Here is a 25,794-nt window from a genome sequence, read left to right as displayed (position 1 = left end):
TTTATAAAGGACTCCGTTGCTCAGATGGCTTTCAGGCTGAATGTTCATACTTTTATACAACTCTGTAAGTTTACAGAAGAGTGAAAGTTCACAAACCGGTTACGGAGCCTGCAGATGGTTAAAAAATTGTTCCCAGTGTGGAAAGGCTACGAGATGATCAAAGGCCTGCAGGACAAACACTTCCTGCCTCCAGCAAGGAGCAGCTGCTGCTCTAGTTATACAGAAAGCTGGCTCAGGGTTCACTGGCACTCAGCTCAATTGATGTAAAAACATGCGTGAAAAAGAGAGAGAAAGAGCAAGAGAGAGAGAGATGGTAGTTTACTCCAACAGATATCTATTCTCTATTAATTTACAGATGAGGAAACTGAGGCACAGGCGATGACTTTTCCTGTTTATATAATGCAGGCTACAAAACTTGGATCTTCTGATGACACAGTCTTAGCTTCTAATTCTTTCAAGGAGAATTAGTATGCAAAAATCTAAACTTTGAATGTAAGCACAAGAGTCACTGGTCCTACAGGCAAGGCGGTACCAGCATGCTGCTTGCAGCTTGGTTTGTGGCAGGAAAAACAAAGAAAAAGAAAAATATGGAACATCCATCTAAAGGGGCATGGTTAGCAAATCATTATATAGTTACACTATGTAAATATTTGATAACCATGGCTGTTACTAAACAGTGAGATGGAACCATATGTAATGATCTGAGGGATATCTGTTCTACCTTGCTAAGTGACAGAAAAAATAAAGGATAATGTGTATAATCTAATTGGTTATAATAAGAATGAAAACAAGAGCTGCAATTCCATCAAAAACTCAGTGAGTATATGTGTATGTCTGTATATATTTTTGTGAGAAGAGTGTAGAAGAATCTGCCTCCAACCATCAATATTAATCACATGAGGGAAAATAGCAGCTGAAATATTAGGGAGTTGGTAAGAAGATTATTAGCTGTTTTTTTGAGACAGGGTCTTCTTGCTCTGTCACCCGAACTGGAGCACATTGTCGCAATGACGCTTCACTGCAGCCTCAACCTCCCAGGCTCAAGCAATCCTCCCATCTTAGCTTCCTGAGTAGCTGAGACCACAGGCACATGCTACTATGCCCCGCTAATTTTCATATTTTTTTTGTAGAGATGAGGTCTTGTTATGTTGTTCAGGCTAGTCTCTAACTCCTGGGCTCAAGTAACCCTCCTGCCTCAGCCTCCCAAAGTGCTGGGATTACAGGTGTGAGCTGGGATTACAGCTGATTATTAGCTTTTTGTTGGTACCTCTCTGTATTATTTGGCTTATTTAAATAAGTGTGCATTATTATTACTTATGATTTTAAAAAATCAAAGAAAATATAAAAAGTTATATGACATGTAGGTTTAAAAAATTTATTGCTGGGCTTTTTAAAACAGTAGACTCCCCACCAAACTCCTTATTTTTCATTTCACTTTATCCATTTAAAATATGGTTTAATTCACAAAATTTTGGTTGATAAACAATTCTTTTCCAGGAATAGACTTCAGCACTGTAGTATGCTTATACCTTTTATCTGGAAGCTAACCAGAAATAGGATTTTGGCTTACTGGAGAAAATGCTGGATGATATGAGAATGCTGAGATGGGTTAATGGTAACAAAATGAGCTGTCACAGGAATCCCAATACAAATGCTGAGGCTCAACACTGTGAAGTTGCCGAGCAGGAGCTCTGGACATCTTCCATGCAGTGAAAAGATAGTATACGTTGGCATATATTAGGTTGGTGCAAAAGTAATTGTGGTTCTTGCCATTAAAAGTAATGGCAATAACAATGACTTGTAAGCTTTGCTTTTAGTGATGGGTCTAATCTCTGTTTGCATCATCCCTTCATTCAGCCAGAATCTGTAAGCTCAGTTTTTGAGGTCCCTATTCTCAGTACTAATCAGCATGCTCATTTGTTTTATAGGTTGATCCTATAAGCCTATAAAACAAATTAAGCCTCTGCTCTAGAAAGTTCTATGTTGTTAGATTCAAGAACAAAAAGCACTGCATACTGTTTATATATGTAAATATTTTATATATTTAGTTGAACATTTATATATTTTTTTCTTTGTGTTTTCTACAATCATCACAGATTCTTTGGGAATATATATATTGTTACACATATAAAATGTGTAACAATGTGGCTAATGGGAAAAGGGTGGATGTTTGATACAGTTGGTAGGTAAGTACAATGAATGTTATTACCTTTGTATCTCCTTTAATTGCCAGCTGAAGTATTGAGTTGGTTTTGGGTAAGAGAAGACTTTCTGCTTCTAATTTATTGCAGATTACTAAATTTTTTAGGCACCTGCCCAGTCCACAAAATTTCAAGGAGAGGATGTCAATACCAAAACCCAACCTACCTAGACAGTTACTGTGAATAAAATGGGATAAAATGTATAAATTGCTCTGAGATCCTTGGAAATGGCTATATCAATCCAAGGAAAAATTGCTGTTGCTAATTAGTAGCCCTGTTGGCCTCAAAAACAAAACAAGTAAAACAACCGAGGTATATATTTAACAATATTCTATTTTGCATTCATCAAAGGTATTTGTCATTTATGTGAAATTTGACAGGACACATAAGGACTCTGGGCTTTCTCTGGAGGAAGTGCCAGGGCTCTAGGGATGAACTTGACCCACTGCAGCCTTTTAAAGAGTGCAACACAGAGCATCTCATACTTTGCTTTCCTTCAGTGTGGTGGGACTGGACCTGACCTGTTTGATATGCAAAAGTCCCTTTCCCCTGAGGGCCTTTCCACAACTTCCTGGAGGTTGTGCTTCTGGACCAGACCACTTCTCAGTACATCTGCATGATTTCTAGAATCAGATTTTGAATCCATGGCTTAAGAAAAGAAAATTCCTTTGACTAAACTTTTGGAGGAAATTGAAATATATACTGCTTTTAAAATGCACTTTACACATGTGAACCCATTTTATGGACATACCAAGATAACACTGGAATGTACGTAACTTTGTTTACTTATAAAGTTGCTAGATTTGGTATTTTTGAGACTAAAAGAACTGCAGATATTTTTGTGAGAATGTGGGCTTTCTTTCAATCGCAAAGTCCAAGTAAAAATTTAATTTATTTAATTATTCAATTTTTGCCAACATTTATGATCAAGCCTCCTTTTTCTCCTGTGCAATGAGAAAGGGTTTGAGCAGGGACAGCTCTTCCTTGGCAGAGGGGCTGCCTGGGGTGGTTGTGTCATTCTGAAACAAGTCCTGCCTTCCTGTGGCTGTGTGTGCTCCCTCGCTCTTGTGTTCACTGCACTCTATTCCATTCTGTACTCTTAGCGGTAGGAGAGAGGGGTGGTAAACCCATTAACAAAACCACCTTAGTATAGCTGAACATGCACATGCATGAAGTCCAGAAGAAAGAACAAAACAGCTCTTTACATCAGTTCATGTCTGTTCCAACCCATAAGGGTCTATGAGGCAAAGAACTTGGAGGGTCGTGTTTGCTCTGTTTAACTCACACCAGCTCCTTAATAGGTCTTGATAGAATACAGGACATCCAGTTATCTTTGAATTTCAGATAAGCAATGAATGCATGCAGTATTTGAGGCATATACTTATTTAGCATTGCATGCATTCATTATTTATCCAAAATTCAAATATAACTGGGTGCACTGTGTTTTTATGTGTAAAATGGCAAACCCACTCTGGGGTCTTCATTCTGGACTCCTGGGGCAACCCCACATCTCTTCATTTACTCACTCATTCTTTCAACAAAACATTTATGGAGCATTTACTCTTGTGCCAGGCTCTGTTCTAGGCTCTGTGGATACAGTCTCAAACAAGATAGGCACAATCTCTGCGCTGTGCTAGAACTTTCAGTCTTGTTGAAAAACAGACTTAAAAAAAAAGTAAGAAAAAAGAATTGGCAAGATAACTTCAAATAGCTGTGAGTGGTATAAAGGTGAAGAGTGAGGCTGGCCCAGGGTGGTCAGAAAAGGCTGCCTGGAGGTGTTTACGCTGAACTAATTTGAGGGATGTGAAGGAGACAGTCATGGCAGGAGCTGCAGGGAGAGCATTCCAGGCAGAGAGAACGGGAAGCTCGGGAAGCTCGAAGGCCTTAGGGCAAGAATGTGATTAGCTGTGCAAAGAACAGAAAGAAGGCCAGTGTGGCTGTATGAGTGAGCTGGGGGACAAGTGGAAACATCTAAGGTCAGGGAAGAACTTTGAGTTCAGATCACACAGGCATTGTTGGTGCTGTGGAAAAGCTGCTGGGGGTTCTTATGATCTGATTTATGGTTTAAAAGACCATTCTGGCTGCTTGTTGAAGAGTGAATTTTCTGGAGAAAAGAGTGGAAGTCAGGAAACCATTTAGGAGGCAAGGGCCCTAAAATGGGTGATGGGGGTGCACTGGACAGGGTGGAGGGAGGAAGTGATTGGTTTGGAATTTGTTGAAGAGCACACAGATCTGGCTGGTGGGTACAATGTGGTGGTGGGTGAGGCACACAGAAGATCCAGGTTGATGCCCCCACTGCCTCTGTAGGGAAAACATTTCTTTTCACTCTTTTTTTTGAGACGGAGTTTCACTCTTGTTGCCCAGGCTGGAGTGCAATGGCACAATCTTGGCTCACTGCAACCTCTGCCTCCCGGGTTCAAATGATTCTCCTGCCTCAGCCTCCCAAGTAGCTGGGATTACAGGTGCCCACAACCATACCCAGCTAATTTTTTGTATTTTTAGTAGAGACGGGGTTTCACCATGTTTGCCTCGACCTCGAACTCCTGACCTCAGGTGATCCACCCGCCTCGGCCTCCCAAAGTGCTGGGATTACAGGCATAAGCCACTGCACCCGGCCTTCACTCTTTTTCTCTTCTTCTCCCCTTCCCTATTGATCCTGCCATCCTCCTTTCGTCACTGGCCACTCCTGCCTCAGATGTGCCAGCCCTGTCCAACTCTCCTGGGCCAGGGTTTCAGTGCTTTAGTCCCAGACCTGCTTTTTTGTGGCTGGTTGGGGCTGGGACTCAGGGAGAAGGGACTGTGGAATGTAAGGCCAGGGGAGGAGAGGGGAGAGAGAGTCCTCCCTGACAGCTGACCTCCCTTTTTTTTTTTTTTTTTTTTTGAGATGGGGTCTCTCTCTGTCACCCAGGCTGCAACTTCTGCCTCCCAGGTTCAAGGGATCCTCCCACCTCAGCCTCCCAAATAGCTGGGACTACAGGTGTCCACCACCATGCCCAGCTAGTTTTTTTTTTTTTTGTATTTTTAGTAGAGATGGAGTTTCACCATGTTGCCCAGGCTGGTCTCAGACTGCTTGGCTCAAGCAATCCACCTGCCTCAGCCTCCCAAAGTGCTGGGATTACAGGCATGAGCCACCGTGCCCAGGGCCATCTCTGGATATCATTCTAAATGTGTTGGGTCTTTCTCCCCTTCAGCCATTCTAACTTCAGTGTATTAATCCAGGCTCCAGGTGGGGCAAAGGATGCCAATTTGCCCTATTTCCTATTTCTCTAAAGGATAGCTACATTGCAAGTCAACATTTCAGAGAAATATGAGAACGGGGTGGTGCATGGCACTTACTTCTTGAATCCTAGGCTTGCAATAGTTCTGTCTGGATTGTGATTCCAACCAAGAAATGTCTTCGTTGGTTGCAAGGTCAAGGTGAGGAAGAATCATAAATCTACACAGGGAAATAATATATGCTGGAAGGAAGGAAGAAGAAAGGAAAGGAGGCAAGGAAGGAAGGAGGGAGAGAGAGAGGGAGAGAGAAAGACCTTAGAAAAACATCTGAGCAAAGTTTTACCACTTTATTTTCTTAATCTAATAGTGAGCAAACCCCACAAGCACAGATATAAAGCAGAACTAGTGTGAGAGCCAGTACCGATTAATATCTGGGATAGAGAAGGGCAGTGATTTTGCAGGAAAAACAAACAAAACAAAAAAATCCCTAACTTGGGTTTGATCTTGACTCTGTACCAGCTCGTGTTGAGAGCCCTAGGAGGGCAGGAGCATGGTTATCTTCCTATCCTCATAGTCCTGTGTTTGGCAGAGAATGGTTCATGGCTGGCATTCAGTGCATGCGGAAGGAAGGAGCCAAGAGTCCCGCTCTGGCCCCATTACCTCATGTTTAAGGGAAGGGGCTGGACCATGGGACCTCAAAGGTCCCTTCAACACCATGCTCCCACACTTTTTCTGTTTTCTCTCTACTTCCACGCTCCCAAATTTCTCTGTAGCCAATGCTGCTTTAAAAGTTTTCTTCCTTTTCCTTGCCTCTCTTATATGCTTTAGATATTGGCCAGAGTTCCCAGTGTTTCTCACTTCTGAGGGTGGCTGCTTATTATATTTAGACCTTTGGGAGGACAGATGAATAAAGCTGTTGATTGGTGGGTCAAGGTCATATACACCAAAATTTTCATATTAGTATATAATCAAACACCAGAGAAAAGATCTATGAAATTGATATTTTTAATATGGGTTCCACAAATGGAGCAGACTGTGATTATCGCATCAAGCTCCTGTCTCCATGAAGCCACATAAAGCTGCCTTCAAAGACACTGACAACCAAGTTCAGCATGGTTTGGAGACTGGCAGGTGGCCAGAAAAATGGCTTCCTTCCCACTGTTTATAGAACTCAAGAGAACTACATGTGTGTTACTACAGGAATGAATCAATCCTCTATTTCCTGACCCAGGCCTAATCCTTATTTACAGATTGGGAACAAAAAGTAGATTATTAATCAGAAAAAGTGTTATCCTACCAAGGCCATTGCAGCCACTGACGATTTTTTTCCTCACAGGCATGAAAGAGGGTGGCATTTTAGAATCAATTACAAAAGAATTACCCAAATATTTCTCCAATTTTCTCCTAATTTTTCAGAGAAAAACTTGAATATCGGTGAAGTAGAGGAATAACGCACACTCATTTAACAGGCTTCTGACACTGCTTTCTCAAGAAGGGCCAGTTATGATGCTTTTTGTCACAAGTAACAGGAAATCCAACAAACTCAGTTTTAACAATAGGTTAATTTATTTAACACAAAAACATAAGTTTAACACAAAAATCCATGGATTCCATTTTGTTGTCAAGGACACAGTTTTTCTCCATCTTTTCTGTGGTTCATTTTCTTAAGCCAGCTATTCTCAAGGCCTCAAAATAGCTGCCATTGCTCCAGGAAGTGCAATGGGATAACAAAACCCATAGCAGAAAAAGGAATGTCCCTCCCTATCTCATATTTCATTTTAAGAAAAAGAAAAGCCCTCCCAGAAACTTGTTGCCAACCCCCCATTTTCATTGGCCAGAATGGCATCGTGCTCACACCCTTACCTAAACCCTTTACTTGGTGAAGGAATGGGGCTGGGAACTCTGGCCAATGTCTAAAGCATGTAAGAGAGGCAAGGAAAAGGAAGAAAACTTTTACTACACCTGTGCTGTCTAGTAGAAATGTAATAGGAGCCAGATATATAATAAACATTTTTCTAACAGCTATATTTTAAGAAAAAAAAAGAAACAGATATTAGTTCTAATAATGTATTTTATTGACCCCAATATATCCAAAACGTTAGTTTAACATATAACTAAATAAGAAATTATTAATTTTATGTTTACATTCTTCCCCCCTCAACCATACTTTGGAATCCAGTGTGTATTTAACACTCACAGCATATCTCAGTTTGAATTAGCTGCTAGACGGTGTGGGCAATAGCCACAAGTGGCCAGTGGCTGCCATATTGGATAGTGCAGGTCTAGGCCTAATGAGATTGTCTGCCTGGGTGCAGAGAGAGGGTCCAGCCTCCCCTGATGTCGTCGCCCCGCTAGAGGACAGCGAACAAAATTGGGGCTGTCTTAGCAAAGGGAAAGAGGGGCAATGGCTGCTGGGCTGACAAGTGATCTGATCTTCCTTCCAACCTATAGCTTTTCCCATATCCCCTTGCTTGGGGAAAGTTACCACCACCTCCTTAGTCAACAGGAGAAATGGGAATCATTCTAGACTCCTCTCTTTTCCTCAATTCTCCAATACAGCCACTCATCAAGTTCTGTCAATTCTGCCTCCTAAGTATCTCTGGAACGCATCTCCTCTGCCATGGCCGTGATGCAGGACCCTCTGCCCCAGTCCTGCCTGAATCCAGTCATGTTGCTGACTTCCATCAGGCTCCTCAGCAGCTGCCCCAGCCTTTGGGATACAGTTCAGACCTTTCTGCAGGGCACACACTAGCACATTACACCTCATTCCCATGACCGCTTGGCTCTGGCCACGTGGAACTGCGAGTAGTTCTTAGAATGTCCTTGCTCTTTTATGACTCCATGTGAGTCCCTGTCTTCAGACCACCCTCTCCCTTCTCCTTCTTCCACCCCCTCTTCCATGTTTCTCTTCTTGGGACCTTCCTTACCTCTCTCAGGAAGAGATTAAGTGTTTCTCCTGTGAGCACCCCACACTCTGTGTGTCCTGGGCTCTAGCATGTGGCAAACCATATTACACCTGCTGTACCCTCTTTCCCTTCGATGGCGAGCTCTCTGAGGGCAAGGGCTGTGCTTTGATCTCTGTAACCTCACTGCATAGCACATAGGGCCTGCCTGGCACCTGGTGACTGTGTAGTGCCACACCTGGCAAAGTAAAGGCTCTGTGTCTATTGAATGGATGGATGGATGCATGCATGGATGAATTTTATGCTCCTCTCAGTCCTTTTCCATCCATGACTGGAAAGCAACCCTTCCCAGCATCTTGCCTTTGGGAACTGTATTAGTTGCTTGGGTTTGGCAAAACAAAGTGCCACAGACTGGGTGGCTTAAACAACAGAAATGATTGCCTTGCAGTTCTGAAGGCTAGGTCTAAAACCAAAGTGTTGGAAAGGTTGGTGCCTTCTGAGTGCCGTGAGAATTTGCCCCATGCCTCTCTTAGCTTCTGGAAGCTGCAGGTGTCCTGTGTCTTGGAGTCGGTGTTCTCCTTAGGCCTTCTCATCATTCTCCTTCTGATGTATCTCTCTGTGTCCAAATTTCCCCTTCTTATAAGGGAATCGGTCAAATTGGATTAGGGCCCACCCTAATGACCTTATCTTAATTTGATCATCTGTGATAGGATTCCAATTTCCAAATAAGGTCCAATTCACAGGCACTGGGGCTTACAACAGCAACATCTTTTGGGGAACCTATCCAACCCATAACAGGAACCATAGGTGAAGGCATGTGTATTCATTTTCTACTGCTGTGCAGCAAGTTGTCACACATAGTTAGCAACTTAAGAGGCAATTTGATTATCTCATAGTTTCTGTGGGCCAGGAGTCCAGGCATGGCTTAACAGGGTCCCCTACTCAGTCTCACAAGGCCACAATCAAAGTGTGGCCTTGAATGTGTTCTCATCTGGAGGGTCTAGGGAAGAATCGGCTTCTAAGCTCATGCAAGTTGTTGGAACAATTCAGCTTCTCGGTACTGCTTGATGGACGGTCCTGGCTTCGTCCTGGCTCTCAGCGGGAGGAGCCCACAGGTCCCTGCCTCCAGGCCCTCTCCATGGGTGGCTCACAATGTGCAAGTTTGCTTCTTCAAGGCTCAGGAGAGAGTCTGTCTCTCTCTGACTCCAGATGGAGTTGCTCATACGCTCTTTCTCTTGCTCTCTTTCTTGCTTACTCTCTCTCTCTTTCCAATGATGGCAGTGACATATAGTCACAGGTTCTTCCCGTCCTGAAGAGGAGGGGCTTATACATGGTGTGACTCATTGGAGGTCACCTTAGGGTGTGTCTGCCACAGTAGGTATGTTGCTTCCTTGGCCTCCCCAACTTACATATAGCAGCTGTGTTCTATTTCTGTCTTTCAGATTCCATGAAATCCACCAGGGAAAGGGTTGGGTGGTGGTGGTGGTGTTGTATGCTCAAGAGACTCAGTGGCCCCACAGGAGAGCATCATTTAAAAAATTAAACTCTAATGATTTTAACTTAATATTCAACTGTGTGAAGCATTCAAATGCAATACTTAGATTGTATTTTTTCAAAAGCAACATTTGATGTTGAAATAACTATACAGGAATTGTAATAATAATAGCTGATATTATTAAGTGCTGACCACATGCCAAGCACCATTCTAATACACTTAGGTTATGGTATCTCATTTCATCCCCACAACTAGCCTATGTGATGGGAACTATTATTATTCCTATTTTACAGATGATGATATTGAGGTATAGAGGGGCCAATAAAAGCCCCACCATAGGTAGCAGTTTGAAGATGGGAGGTTCAAATCTCCAACCCCCGCAGATTACTTGATGGCAAAACCCACATACTGAAATATGAAGGTTGGCTGGCTGCCCTTGGGTAGCTGTTTCTCAAAGGGTTAGGATGAACACACCTAGCATTTGTCTCTGGGATTCTCTTTTCTTCAAACTTTCCTGCTGATTGATCTATTCTTTATGAATGATTAAGTCATTCAAATGACAGAAAGAGGTATAAAACTAACTTACAAGACAAAAGCTGCTCATTCATACTTAGGTATTTTTCATCTGGCATTGGAGAGATTCCAGTGATTCTCTATATTGAAGCATCTTTAGTTTTACTTTATCCAACTTCGACTCTCCTGGCTTGTTTTGCTTGTGTCTACTCAAGTTTGGCAATATTTGAGAGTACTGTCAGCAGTCTCGCTCAGTAGTTTAAATGTCTGCGAATATAGAATAATATTTTATTTTATAAAAACGATGGCAATAAGCAAGAACCGAAAGTTATAATTTCCACAAAAATGTTTGCAACCACAGAATTTTTTGAGAGTATTTTTGTATTTGTGAAGTGTATGATAGTGATCATACTAGTGACCTAAGATTCATTGATCCTCAGAAGATCCGTGTCATAAAGTTGGCCACCTCCCTGCTGGCTGACATCCCCGGACATCTGTGCTTTGACTCAGATCCTAGTTTGTCATCCATTTTTGGTGTGAAATCTCAATGAGAAAGAGCCAACCATTAAAATTGTATGTCAAATTCTAGTATTTTTTATTACATACATACCGTTTCTCTGGGTAACATTTTCTGATTCACAAAATTTGAGTAATGGGCTTGTTAGTCTCTTACATATATGGTTATAATGAATTAATTCAGGATATGCTTACAGACCTGAAAGTTTTGCAAGACAAAAGCAACAAAGTTTTTGTTTTTCTGTAAATAATGACTGGAGACAATATATTTTCAAATTAGTAAAATGTCATTTCAGGTGCTGCAAGTTTTCCATGATCATTTATACATCTGCTAATTAAGCCTCAGCTACATAATATATTTTTTAAAAGAAGAAATTAAAATTCTTATGGTATTTATACACCAGCAAAAAAAAAAGAAAAACCTGCTTCTTGGTGCTGAGAGACACAGGTTTTATTACTAGGCATTTGGTAATGCCTAAAAATTAATCTCACTATTGCCTTTATTACCCAATCAAAATTGTATCATCCTCCCTTTTTCTTTCCCTGCCCACTTATCATTTCAAGGAGAAGGAAAATAGAAAATAGTTTGCAGTTGTCAGCTGCCATGTTCTTTAAGTCCAAGTCCGTGGTCCGAGCCTGCCCATCTGACACTGGCTTCTCTCTTCTCCCACCTCCTCTCCCTATTCTTTTTTTCCCCTTTCTGGATTCTTGAAGATTTAAAGGGTAGAATAGTTTCTCGGATTCTAAAATTGCATCCTGTGGTAAGAAAAAATAATTAATCTTTTATGCAGCATATTGTTAAGAGAAGTACTTACTTTTCTTTAAAAAGTTTACCATAAACAGGCCGGGCATGGTGGCTCATGCCTGTAATCCCAGCACTTTGGGAGGCTGAGGCGGGCAGATCATGAGGTCAGGAGATCGAGACCATCCTGGTTAGCATGGTGAAACCCCGTGTCTACTAAAAATACAAAAAAATTAGCCAGGCGCGGTGGCAGGCACCTGTAGTTCGAGCTACTTGGGAGGCTGAGGCAGGAGAATGGCGTGAACCCAGGAGGCAGAGCTTGCAGTGAGCAGAGATAGGGCCATTGCACTCCAGCCTGGGTGACAGAGCAAGACTCTGTCTAAAAAAAAAAAAAAAAGTTTACCATAAACCAAATCAAATCTTTGTAAATTTGGGAGATGAAACATAAGAAAGATGTATGGCAATTAATCAAAACACAAGGCTGATTTTTTTTTCTTTTTTATACTTTTTCTGAATGTCAGCTTTGACAAACCATTACTGCTAAGGGCCTGAATAAATGCTAATGATTCAAAAGAAAGAAGAAACGCTTGACACATTGATTAATTAGGCTGTATTTGTAGTTCTACTGTGAAAAACACTTGTTCACTTAAATGAGATCCTTGACTTGTCATAATTTTTCCTCTCAAAACGCAAATATCTTCTTTTTCTGTTTAAATGGTATTGCGCACTGGTTCTCAGCCCTCTCCTCCCCAAGCTTCAGAATCACCTGTTGAACTAGTAAATCTGCAGATTACTAGTCCCACAGTTTCTGATTCAGTAGGTCTGAGATGGGACCAGAGATTCCAGATTTGTTATCAGACAGAATGATACAGCTGCAAATGATAGCAATCATAAAGGAAAAGGTTAGGGATCACTTGAAATGCTATCCCCAGAGACAAGCCCTGTTAACTATTTGGAGTACCTTCTTTTAGCCTTCAATGCACTCATGAGACAGACACTGCCAAATACCTGCCCACACTCAAGCTTGCATTCAAGGCAGCATGTGCTCAACAGAGAAATTAAAGTGTGCAGGCTCTCTTGCAGCTAGGAGCCATCATGTGACACAGTGTTGGCCAATGAAAGGTAAGCAGAAGTCTATTGGGGGAAGGCCTTCTGAAAATGCTATCATTTTCCTCATTAAAAAAGGGGCAGGGGGTAGCTGGTCTGTGCCTTTTTGTGCTTTGCCCTTCCCCTTTTGCCCTGCCTGAAGTGTGGGTGTGAATCCTGGAATGGCAGCTGCCATCTTGTGACCAGACATGGAGGATAGTAGTCTGGGAAAATAGAGGGTAATTGTTCCTTGAGCAGCTGCACCAGCTCTCCCCCGCCTTCTTTTTCAATGTGAGAAAAATAACCTGAGGTGTTTAAGCCACTGCAGTTGTTCTCTGTTACATAGTGCCAAACACAATCCTAACAGAAATAATTATATACATAACATAAATGCACATATGTATTCAGGTAGTCTCAAGGCAAATGTCATTTTATCGAGTAGTCAGAAAGGCCTCTGACTACTTGATCTACACCAGCACCCTCGAAAATATCTATCTCAGTGGCCTGCCCCATTTTTCTTTACTAACGTCATATATGTATTTGTTTCTTGTTTGTTTCTCTCCACTACAAAGTACACTCCATGAGAATAGGAACTTTGGTTGGTTTGCTGTTGTATTTCTAACCCATTGAAATGCTTAAGAAATACTTGTTGAATGAATGAACAAATGAACATAAAAATGGGTTATACTCTCATCTAGTGTTGTGTAACAAATTTTCCTACACTTAACCATATGTGACTTTCCAAATCAGTTCATATATACCTTTTATATTTGTTTTTGTTGTTGTTGTTTTTGTTTTTTTGTTTTTTTTTTTGATGGAGTCTCCCTCTGTCGCCCAGGCTGGAGTGCAGTGGTATGATCTAGGCTCACTGCAACATCTGCCTCCTGGGTTCAAGCAATTCTCCTGTCTCAGGCTCCCGAGTAGCTGGGATTACAGGCACCTGGCCTCACACTCGGCTAATTTTTGTATTTTTAATAGAGACGGGGATTCACCATGTTGGCCCTGCTGGTCTTGAACTCCTGACCTCAGGTGATCCTCCTGCCTTGGCCTCCCAAAGTGCTAGGATTACAGGCGTGAGCCACTGTGCCAGGCCTCTATATTCTTTTTAATGTCTACATGGTATTTCATTGCTTGGATATACTGTGCTATAATTGTTGTTTTTCCCCCAATCCTTCATTAATAGACATTCAAGTTCACATTTTTCCTTTACATATGAAAAATACACAATTCCTGAGTTTTGCTCTGGGAAGGCGAAATTTGATCTTTTCTGTCCCTTCTGCTCACAGACTGTACCAGAATGATTAACAATAGGAACAAGGAAATCCACACCTGTAGTGTTTGGTCTGGCTTTGCCAGCTTGAAGAAGGGAATTTCAATAATTGCTAGTATATTTCCCCAAATTGGATTATTTTTAAAAACACTGTGTACGTGGCTCCTATAATTCAGTTCAGACAAATTTAGCCCCCTTTCACAGTCTAGCATAAGAGAGCTCAGATTTTCATAGGCTTTTTGGGAAATCCAGTCTTCTCTCTCTTAGGAGCAAATACTTGTTCAAAAAGACACATATCTCCCCCCAAAAACTAATTTTCAGAGATGTTCTAGTCTAAATCCCTATAGAAAATAATTAAGAAGAATTAAAAAGAAAACAACTCTCCAAGAACATGATATTACTTAAAATAAACCCAATTTCCTGTACTAAACACATCGCTTAACCTAACTGCACTTGAGTTAATGGCATCCTCATAGGGTTTTCTAAGAGCAACGGGTGGCTATTGCTCTATAAATAGAGGGATCATTTTGGTAATTTTCCCCCAAATAAAGGAAGCTGGCTATAAAGGTGCATTGATCTCTTTTTACCTCTAGAGAAAAAAATTACAAGCAATTTAAAATGAAATGAAACTTTTTCAGCTTCAAAGTATTTTAAACCCCACTGGGCACTCCAATAAATTTATAACTAGTTTCCCTTTTTGCTTTTGCTTCTAGGAATTCAAACTAAACTTGCTTCCCACTACTGAATAACCAGCAGGACTTTAAGACACAAGATTGCATTAACTCATTAGCCCTTAACTATACATAAGGAGAAATTTAAGACATTCAAATGGACAAAAATCTTTACTGGGTATCCTTTCAAGGGAGCCTCTGGGGAATTATCTGATCCTATAGGAGTGTGCAACCCTGTTGATTTTACAACTCCCTGGAAAAGTTACAGAGAACTGATAGCAACGCAAGTAATTGTTGTCCATCGAAACATACATACTTTGTCTGCAGAATGCAACTAATTATTGCTTTATGGATAAACTAGTTTTTGTGAATTCATTTCAACATTTCTTTACTGTATGCAAATTTGTAGTTCTTTGACTTCTTTGAATAAGCTGTAATATCTCATTGATTCTCTCACTTAATTTATCTTTGATGTGTGTTCATTTTATATTTTTGTGTGAATCATAATTTTGCCTTTTTTGAAAATCACTTTTTAACCTGTGTCAAACTATATAACCTTTCTTTTTTTCTCTTCATCCTGATTGTATTTAAAAAATAAAATGTACTTTTTGAATTGTAAGGTTAACACATATTACTTTTTAAACAGTGGACAAGACAAAAAAAGAATATGGAGTGAATTCACATCACTGGTAATCACACTATCCACATATACCCACTACTAATATTTTGAATTACCTCCCACTATTCTTTCTTTTTTAAGTTAAAAGTTAATTTTTATCCAAATAACACATCTATGTGGTTTAAAAAGTCAAATAGTACTACAAGGAAATATTTATAATGCAAAACTAGGAGTTTCCTGCCCCAGCCTTCCCCAACCCCAACAGTCCCACTGTAACTCTTTGGCTGCATCCCCAGGTGTTCATGTCCATGTCTTGAAATTATATGCTTATCTTGCTTTTTTTGTTGTTGTTGTTGTTTTTGAGATGGAGTCTTGCACTGTTGCCCAGGCTGGAGTGCAGTGGCGTGATCTGGGCTCACTGCAAGCTTCACCTCCTGGGTTTATGCCATTCTCCTGTCTCAGCCTCCAGAGTAGCTGGGACTACAGGTGCCCGCCACCACGCCCGGCTAATTTTTTGTACTTTTAGTAGAGACGGGGTTTCACTGTGTTAGCCAGGACGGTCTTAATCTCCTGACCTCGTGATCCACCAGCCTCAGCCTCCCAAAGTGCTGGGATTACAGGTGTGAGCCACCGCGCCTGGCCCATCTTGCTATTTTTTAAATTTCAGTTTTAGATATTAACTATTGACTTCCCATTTTGGTAAATGAGGACTGAGCTCTCTCCACTGCCTTTTTACCATTTCCCCACTCCCCATTTCCCTAACTCAGTTATATCACAGTTTTTAGTTAAATCAAGCAACTCAAAAGTTAGCATTTACATGATTTTGACTACACGAATATTATTTGCTTCTGAGCAAACAATGAATAAACCATGTTCTTGTCCACCCTTTGTTTTTCCTGGAGTTAAAACCTGCTTAATTTTTTAATCAGTCTAATTTGCTGTGTCATTACAATTTTCCTTGAGTGCTCTATATCTCTGTCACTTGCCTATCAATAATATTTTTTGCAAATTTTTTGAGACAGGGTCTCACTCTGTCACCCAGGCTGGAGTGCAGTGGCATGATGATGGCTTGCAGTAGCCTCCATCTCCTGGGCTCCAGTAGTCCTCCCACCTTAGCCTCCTAAGTATCTGGGACTACAGGTGCATGCCACCACACCCAGCTAATTTTTAAGTTTTTTTTTTTTTTTTTTTTTTTGTAGAGATGGGGGTCTCGTTATATTGCCTAGGTCGATCTCAAACTCCTGGGTGCAAACGATCTTCCCATCTTGGCCTCCCAAAGTGCTGGGATTACAATCATGAACCACGATACCTGGCCAGTAATATTTTTTATATATTCACATATATCTACCCAATTTTTTCCCCTGGAGGTCTGTCTTCTGGAGCCCTCGGTCCTCCATTTTTGAGACTGCATACTTGAAGCATAGTTGTTATCCTGGGACCTCCCTTTACTATCATCTAATGAATTCGTCTCTTTTTGAGTCCTCTCTTGTCTGCATTCTATGTCTTCAACTTGCCTGGTTTTATTTAAACCAGCAGTATCTTCCTGAGAAGGAATATAAGGGAAATCAAGCTCTAAATACCTTGTATGTTTGAAAATGTCTTTATTCTACCCTCACATTTGATTTGTAGCTTAGTTGTTATACAATACTAGATTTGAAAATATTTCCTCTAAATAAATGTGAAGCTATTACTCCATGGGTTCTAGCTTCCAATGTTACTGTTGAGAAGTCTGAGGAAAAAAGTCAGCATTTTTATAACATGAGCTATGGGCCAGGCTCTATTTTATGTGTTTTATATCCATTATGCCAGATAAGTGGGAGGTAGTCTTATTATTTCTGTTTTAGAAATGAAGAAACTGAAGCAAGAGAGGTTCAGTAACTTACCCAAAATCACACAACTAGTATTTGAGTTACAAGCCCAGGTAGTTGGCTCCAGAATCCATGTTCTTAACCACTGTGCTATCTTACCTGTCATGTCATTCTCTTTCCCAGTACTTTCTATGTGGCTTGTGTTATCTTTCTGGGAGCATTTAGGTCTTCCATTTGTCATGTTAGGTACTCAGTGGACCTTTACCATCTGGAGGCATGTTTCCTTCCATTCTGGAAAATTTTCTCTTATTATTGATTATTATTAGTTGATAATTTTCTTCCCTCTGTTTCTCCTATCTCTATTTTGCAACTCCTATTATTCAGATATTGGACTTCCCAGGTTGATTTTTAAATGTTCTTATCTCTTCTTTCCTATTTTCTGACTCTTAAACATTTTGTATTACTTTCTAAAAGATTTTATTGCCTTTATCTTCTAATATTCTGAATGAGTTTCAATTTTTATCATATTTGTAATTGTCAAGAGTCCTTTCATGTTCTCCAGTTGTTCTCTTTTTATTGAATTCTGTTCTTCCTTATCTTTCTGAGAATACTAGTTAAAAATATTTTTTAAAATGTTCTTTGATTCCTTTCATTTTCTCTTTCCTCCTGGTCCCCTTGTTTGCTCAGTCTGTGTCTTCAGGTCACAGGCTTTCACCAAGTGTCTAGTTGTTCTTTCATATTTAAGAATAAGATGCTAAAAGCTCACTTGACGTTCTGTAAACAAGGGCAAGAATTGTTGATTGGTAGGAAGAGGATAACCAGGTGGGTGCCAGCTTTTTGTTGGGAGAACCTTAAATATGCGCATCACAGGATATACCTCTGGACTGTTTGGGTCTGCAGTGCAGGTCTTCCAGTCCTCCTGTCTGTACTGATATTCCCTGTTGCTGATGTTCTGAGACCTAGATAGGAGAAGGGGCCCACAGCTCATGGCTCTGTGGGCTTTCATTTCATATTCCTGGCTTTAGCTTCATGCCTACCCCCTACTCCAGTGCTCTTATAAGGCTGGTGTCTTCTAGGTTGAGTCTCTCCTTTCAACCCATCCAAAAATAAATCTCCTGAGTCTTTTAGGAGGCTGTTTGGGAAACCCTGTCCTCTGGCTGTATGTGGTGGGGAGGAGGTCCAATGCTTCTGAATAAAGCCTGTGAAACCCATGTCTGTGTCCGGCTTCCTGCCTGACATCTGCCTCCCCTAGCATCTGGCGTCTCCCAGTGCAGGGTCTCCAGGGCTCTGAGGAGTCAGTTGGCTTACATTTTATTGGGCCTGGGTTGTAACTTTGTTCTTTTCTGCCAGGTCAGTTACCGCTCCTCTCTTGGCTACCCATCCACCGTCTCCTGTTTACTACTGTCTTCCCTGGAGCCTCTTTCTGCATGTGGAGTAGTAACTTTTTATTGTAGTCTTAGTGAGGTCTTAGGAGAGTGACTAGATGAACGTATGTGTTCAGTTTGCTGAGATTTTTACTTTTTGTTGTGGGTTGAATTGTATCCCTTCAAAATTCATATGCTGAAGTCCCACCCCCTAGTGCCTCAGAATGTGACCTTATTTGGAAAGAGGGATGTGGCAGATATAATCAGTTAAGATAAGGCCACACTGGAGGTGGGTGGACCCCCTAATCCAATGTGATTGGTATCCTTATAAAAAGAAGAAATCTGGACACGGACATGTGCACAGGGAGAATGCCATGTGAAGACTGGAATTATGCTATCACAAGCCAAAAGCAAGGAAAGAGGTTGGGAACAGATCCTTCCTTAGCTCATCCAGAAGGAACCAGCCCTTCCATAGCCTTGATCGTGGACTTTGGCCTCCAGAGCTAGGAGATAATTCATTTCTGTTGTTAAGCCACCCAGCCTCTGGCACTTTGTTACAGCAGTCCCAGGACACTTATGTGGGTTGAGCATCCCTTATTTGAAGTGCTTGGGGCCAGAAGTGTTTCGGATTTTAGGGTTTTTATTTTTTATTGTTTTGAATTTTGGAATATTTGCATATACATAATGAGATATGTTAGGAATATGACCCGAGCCTAAACATGATATTTATTTATGTTTAATATACACGTATGCACATAGCCTGAAGGTAATTTTATATAGTATTTTAAATAATTTCATGCATAAAACAAAGATTTGACTGCATTTTGACTGTGACCCATCACATGAGGTTAGGTGTGGAATTTTCCACTTGTGGCATTGTGTCAGCATTCAAAAAATGTCAGATTTTCAGACTAGGGATACTCGACCTGTACACACAAAAAAACCTTATTTTGATGTATGTATTCTTGCAGATCACCTCAAGTCTTTGGGAGAAGGTGCAGAATAAATAAATATAAATAACATTGAACCAACAGCAGTTTCTGAGTGTGGACTGAATTACCACAGGGTGTGCAAGGGGAGTGTGTCCACCGTTTTGTAGCTTAGCATGGTTTCTGGAACTTAGTTCATGTTCAACACATGTTAGTAGTAGTAGTAGCAGTAGTTGTTGTTATTAGTATTATTATTATAACTACATGAACCGGGCATTTTAAAATTTATTTCAATATTTAATTTAGAGAAGTACATGTATATATATTTTGGAGACAGAGTCTCACTGTATCTCGAGTCTGGAGTGCAGTGGCATGATCTCACTCAGCTCACTGCAACCTCCACCTCCCAGGTTCAAGCAATTCTCGTTCCTCAGCTACCCAAGTAGATGGGACTACACGCACCCACCACCACGCCTGGCTAATTTTTTTATTTTTAGTAGAGACAGGGTCTCACCATATTGGCCAGACTGGTCTCGAACTCCTGACCTCAAGTGATCTGCCCGCCTCAGCCTCCCAAAGTGTTAGGATTACAGGCGTGAGCCACTGTGCCCGGCCCTTGGCAAGGCTATGTTAAAACAAAGGATGTTATGGGTTACCTAATAACTTGACATAGTGTATTTTTTTGTTTTGTTTTGTTTTGTTTTTGTTTTTGTTTTTGTTTTGAGACTGAGTTTTACTCTTGTCGCCCAGGCTGGAGTGCAATGGTGTGATCTTGGCTCACTGCAACCTCTGCCTCCTGGGGCCAACCAATTCTCCTGCCTCAGCCTCCGAGTAGCTGGGATTACAGGTGTGCGCCACAACGGCCAGCTAATTTTTGTATTTTTAGTAGAGACGGGGTTACACCATATTGGCCAGGCTGGTCTCAAACTCCTGACCTCAGGTGATCCATCCGCCTTGGCTTCCCAGAGTGCTGGGATTACAGGCATGAACCACCGTGCCCAGCCCATAGTGGTAATTTCTTAATGCCTTTGTGGAACCAGCTCAGTGGTTGGGACACTTTTACAGGTGAGTGGGCTTTGAAGCATAAGGCTCTTCAGGGCAAGTCCCTTAGGAGCAGCCTTATAAAGACGTAAGGCAATGCTGACCTCTCTCGTGGCATGGGTCTCCCCTCTGGGCAGCAGCCCCTGCTGATGGCGGGGATAGTTCAGAAGGAATTTGGTGGCCGGGAACGTCCTCTGTGCTGAGCGCACCCTCTAGTCCTTTGCCATGCAGCTGTGGCGATTTGCGTAGCCTGTGCTATTTATAACTGCATATTTGCTCAGAAAGAACCATCTCATTTTCTGACTGCAGCTGCCCACACGGGTCTGGCCGCCGCTGGGGTTTTCCAGCAGGCCACCACGCCGCCACATCACTTGAGAGCATCTTCCGTGGGTTCTGCCTCGTTCTCCTGCCCTCATGACGTTCTGTGGTTTCACTTTGGCTCACTCATTCATCTCACAGCCATGCATTGAGCACCTACTATGGGCCAGACACTATCCAAGGCCCTCAGAAAACTGAGTGAGACACATGTGCTGCAAATCCCTCCCTCAAGTAGCTTGCAGGCTATGAGGAAGACTGATAGGCAATTTACTGTGCAGGTTCTTAGCCTTTGGTGTTAGTTTCTACCTTCTCTTCCTCTGTTTTCAAACCAGATCCTTGGCGGGAACCTGCCATGCCGCAAGCTTGTTTTTGTCTTTCCATTCACTGTCAAACTCTACCACGTGATTGCACCCACTCATTAAATGCCCTGCAGCCTGGCTTCCTGCCTAGATCACCAGTCACTCATACCGGCTACCCTCCCTTTACCCTCACGTTTCAGTTCTCTTTTGACTGTGAAGACCTAGTGTTGGACCCAGTGGAACACCTGTGTGTCTCCGCACGTGGCGCCCGCGCTGGCTAGCCTCACTCCTTTGCTCTGCTCCCTCTGACATGGGTTCTGTCACCTCCTCTTCCCTTGGGACCCAGGAGCCCTGACTTCAACCTGATCTTCCTTCTCTCCAGTTCCCAAACCCAGCCAGTCCCAGGCCGTCGTGTTCCCTCCCATCTCTGGAGGACTCATTTGGCAAGTGTCATGATTTACCTTGTGGTTTATCAAGGGGTACTGTTGATTGGTAGTTATTTTTGTCATCTCATAATTTGAGTTTTCATGCAGATTGTGAATGGTCCTTGTTCACAGAGCTAATAAGCAGTCCCTTCTGGCTGAATCTGCTGAGGACTGGCAATAGATATTTTCCCTTCTCTTTAGCTAGTTAGCTAGTGTGCCAGGCCTGGCCTGTGAGGCCATTCCTTCCCAGCTGTGCTGTGTAATGCAGGAGGCTGGCCCTTGTGGGCTATTTCTTAGGATCCGGTGTCAGCTGCTTTCTGGCTGGGTTTGGCCAATGGAAGGCACCAATGGGAACTGCATGGTGAGAAGAAGAGAGAAGCCACAATGTTTCTCCTTGCCCTTCCCTGTCTTGAATGGCATCTACAGCTCCAGCTCCTACCAATCAGGCCCCTGTGGTTCCAGCTTCTGCAGGGTGACCTGGCTTCTTCTGGCTTCTGGTAACACTGCTTCCTCCTTTGATCCTCCACTTTAGGGGCAGTATAGCTTCCTGTCCCTGCTCATCTCTGGGTTATGTCACCGTCTCCTAGTAACTGCTCAGCTTTGTTGTCTCCTGAGCAACCAAAATACTCAGAGTGGTTTCTGTTCCCTGGCTAGATTATGGCAGACATGGTTATTCCTGCCTTCTTCCCTTCCTTCCCTCTCTTCTTCCCTTGTTCCCTCCCTTTTTCCTTCCTTCCTTCCAATTAGTTATTTATTGCTGCATAACAAATTACTCTAAAACCTAGGCAATAAGCATTTAAGAGCTCACAGGTCCTGTAAGTAAGGAATCTGGGCACAGCCTAGCTGGGCACCTCTGGCTCAAGTTGTCTCATGCAGTCAAGCTGTTGGTAAGGGTTTTGGTCTTATCTGAAAGCATGACTTGTGAGGGGGCTTCATCCCCAAGATCACTTGCTTGGTGGTCCTCAGCCCCTTGCTATGTGGCCTCTCTGCAGGACACCCTTGTGATGTGGCAGCTAGCTTCCACCAAGGCAAGCGGTTATAGAAAGGGAGAAGGGGAGAGAAAGCCCGAGACAGAAACCACTGCCTTTTTATAGCCCAATCTTGGAAGTGGCATCTGATCTCTTTTTCTGTATTCTATTTGCTACAAGTGAAGTTAATAATAAGGCCAGCCCATATTCAAGAAGACACTACACAAGGGTATGAATACCAGGAGGTGTTGATAATTGGAGGTCATCTTAGAGACTTCTTGTCTTTCTTTCCTCCTTCTCAACCTACCTCCATCCCTTTCTTCTTCCTTCTGTTCCTTCCTTCTTCCCTCCCTCTCTTCCCTCCCTCCCACTCTTCCCTTTGTTCTTCTCTCCTTCCTCCATCCTTCCTATCCTCCTTCCCTCTCTCCCTCACTCCCCCTTCCTTCCCTTTCTTTCTTTTTTCCTTCCTTCCTCCCTTCCTCCCTCTCTTGCCTCCTTCCCTCCTTCCCTTCTTGCTCCCCTCTCTCCCTCCCTCCCTTCCTCCTTTCTTTCCTCCTTCCTTCCTTCTTTCTGGAAGTGGTAGAAATTATAAGGAGATTGTTTTGGGATCTTGTGCCACAGATTGTCTTTCCAAAGCCAACTCTACCTTTTGAATCCTGCATATTTCTTTGTCTTCTCCAACACCATCAGCAAGATATAAATGAAATGGGTGTCTATGGGCTGGTTTGGGAATACCATTTGTAATACTGCATACATGGGAACTTGTACTTGACACTCTATATTCCAAATATATTAGTGAATTTTTTTTGGACACAACCTATTTGTAAATTGCCAATTCGCTGGAATAACAACAATCACAAAAGATTGTTGTTTTTGAGACACCATTTGACTCTTAATATCAGAGATATTGTCATGCGCTTCCTGATTGGTTTAATTTCACCTGGGACTGATATTAAAGGAGGTATATTGTTCACATTACAGATACAGGTTCCTCAGTGCACCTATCTGTTAGGGATGAACTGAAGCATGGAAGTTAAAATAAGGGTAATATTATTTCTTCAAAGGTACTCATCCCTTTTGGAAATGGTACTCAATTCTTTTTCTTTAAATGTCACAGAATTGCTGATGTCATCAGTAGGAAATCTAGTTTATGGACCTTCCCTCCCAATGATAGCAGTCATTCCTGTGAAATGACACCTCCTTGCTAATATTGAATTGTGGGGTGCTACACTGAGTCACTCAAAGAGGAGCTGAGAAATGAAACAAAGATTACATAGACCAGCCATCTACCGAGCTGTAAGATTTGGTATTCTATTTTCTACTGAGGATTGATTATTCTCCATTTCATGGCAATTTCTGTGTCAGTCTTTGAAAAGAAGTAAAACAATATAATAAGAGAGAGACGATAACTTGTAATTGTTGATTCCTTCACAGACACTGGGATGGATTAAATGCTGACATATTTGCCATAAATACGGATATGGATGTCTGCCAATGCGAGAGTCACCCACGTATCTGCCAAAACAAACATAGTTAGGCACTATTTAAGATATCCGTCTTCAGAAAGCACAGAACTATATCAATTTTTAAAATTGATTTTTAAAGCTTATAATCAAACCCTCTGATCTATTCTTCCTATTTCCCCAAAAGGAGCTGTCCCAGGAATTAGGACATTCACTGTGCTTTGCTGAGGTAGGGTGGACCTAGGGGAGGGAGGCAGTGCTGCCTAGGGGTTTCTGGAAAGGAATTGCATAGCTTGGAAAATGAGCCAGAAACCTATACTCCAAGGTGATTTCCAAATGATCACAGCAGGAAGTTTTGTGGCAATTTTGCATATATGACTTTTATACCTAATTTTCAGTGCTTCTGCACATGTGGTTCATATGTTTACCCCAAAGCATTTCTTGCCTCCAGCTGGAATATGCTCAGAAATGACCTGTGACATTTTTACATTCACAAACTAAAAGTACCAATATCTATCCCTCAGTGTATCCACAAATGTTGTCTCTTTCCCTTTGTGCCATTTTCTGTTCGGTTGCCATTTCACAGGAATGGGTTGAAAGATGCCCCCAAGGTGATCTTCATGAATCCCAGTAAAGCAAAGACAGCCAATGTAAAGACAGAGGCCAATTGTTGTAAAAGGTCACAGCTGCTTTCATCAGCTGACATGTGAACCGCTGGAAAGGTACCATATCAATGAAAAGAATAACACGACAGCAAAATCAGGCACACTGCCTCCTCAGTTCTATATCCTGTGCAGGTTTGCAACCCGCCTTGCTGCTGGTGAGGCAGAGAGTGAGAGAGTATTTGCATTGGCTGGAAGGGACTTTTTTTTTTCTACAGGATAAAAATAGGTGGAACAGGAAAGCACCCATGCTTTTATTGAAAGAAAGTATGCTGGTTGCCGAGATTTAGGGCTATATTTTTAAAGACGAACTTCTCTTACTGGAATTATTACTCTTACAGGGGTGGTGAGGTCAGAGTCAACTGTAGTCAACTGTAGTTGCTATGGGTGTAGTTATTTGATGGGGAGACATCCAAGAATGATGGGCTGTGATGTGGTTGAGGTTTGCAGAGGACGTTCTAGCCTCACACTATTGCTACTTGGCTTTTTCTGTCCGATGCATCCCACTTCTTATTCATACCTCAGTGGAGTCCCCTCTTGTGTAACTGAGAGGCCCCTTTGAATCCCAGAGCTGCTCACTGCCCTTCTTTGACCATGAAGGCTTAACTAAAGATCTTTGGAAGGACTGGTTGCTCAGGTTTTTTTTCTATTGCATTGGAAACATCAGTAAAGAGAAGTTTACATGAGCCTGCACATTAGAGCCAAATTACAGATGTAATTTAAAACAAACATATATACATATCCACACACATACACACATATACATATACACATATATATGGACTTAGCCCTCTAGACACTGGAATTTGAAACTGAAAATATGTATACGGGGATTTGGGGAATGACATTCTATTTAATTCTAATTTGAAAGACTTTAACTTTCTACCATTAAAAAAAACTATGTTTTTGTAACAGCATGCACTGTTCACAGTACTAGCACAGCATTTTGCAAGAAGAGTGTTTATTATTAATAATTAGCTAAGTTAGATGATTTTGCTACCAGAGTTTTAGTCTTGGCTCTGCCACCGGGCAGTAACTGTGTGTGTGACCTTGGCCGGATCACTTAACCTTCTTGGCTTTGGTTTCCTGCTCTATAACACATGAGGATTAAAATAGATCAGTAAGTCTCAAACTGTAGGCCTCAATCCACTAGTGAATCATGAAACCAATTTAGTGAGTTTGATCAGCATTAAAAATTAAAAAAAAAAAAAAAAAAAAAAAAAAAAAAGAGGCTGGGCGCGGTGGCTTATGCCTGTAATCCCAACACTTTGGGAGACCGAGGTGG

General features: G+C 41.8%; 1 long non-coding RNA gene across 7 annotated transcripts in view, besides 3 other annotated features; it reads left to right on the top strand.

Annotated features, from left to right (window-relative positions):
• Positions 1–25,794, top strand: part of LOC105375199 (uncharacterized) — a 191,528-nt gene that overhangs the window by 141,309 nt on the left and 24,425 nt on the right. The window lies entirely within an intron of this gene.
• Positions 20,484–20,923: an enhancer, noted in NCBI's record as "active region_25776". NCBI's record gives its function as "activates an Ori minimal core promoter by ATAC-STARR-seq in GM12878 lymphoblastoid cells {active_cell/tissue: GM12878}" and the evidence as "EXISTENCE:reporter gene assay evidence [ECO:0000049][PMID:35858748]".
• Positions 21,374–21,433: an enhancer, noted in NCBI's record as "active region_25775". NCBI's record gives its function as "activates an Ori minimal core promoter by ATAC-STARR-seq in GM12878 lymphoblastoid cells {active_cell/tissue: GM12878}" and the evidence as "EXISTENCE:reporter gene assay evidence [ECO:0000049][PMID:35858748]".
• Positions 24,707–24,846: an enhancer, noted in NCBI's record as "active region_25774". NCBI's record gives its function as "activates an Ori minimal core promoter by ATAC-STARR-seq in GM12878 lymphoblastoid cells {active_cell/tissue: GM12878}" and the evidence as "EXISTENCE:reporter gene assay evidence [ECO:0000049][PMID:35858748]".

Source organism: Homo sapiens, chromosome 7 (assembly GCF_000001405.40).
Source record: "Homo sapiens chromosome 7, GRCh38.p14 Primary Assembly".
In the NCBI taxonomy this organism is placed as follows: domain Eukaryota; kingdom Metazoa; phylum Chordata; class Mammalia; order Primates; family Hominidae; genus Homo; species Homo sapiens.
The sequence above is the reverse complement of the archived record's forward strand: the minus strand, read 5'-3'. Positions and strand labels throughout refer to the sequence as shown.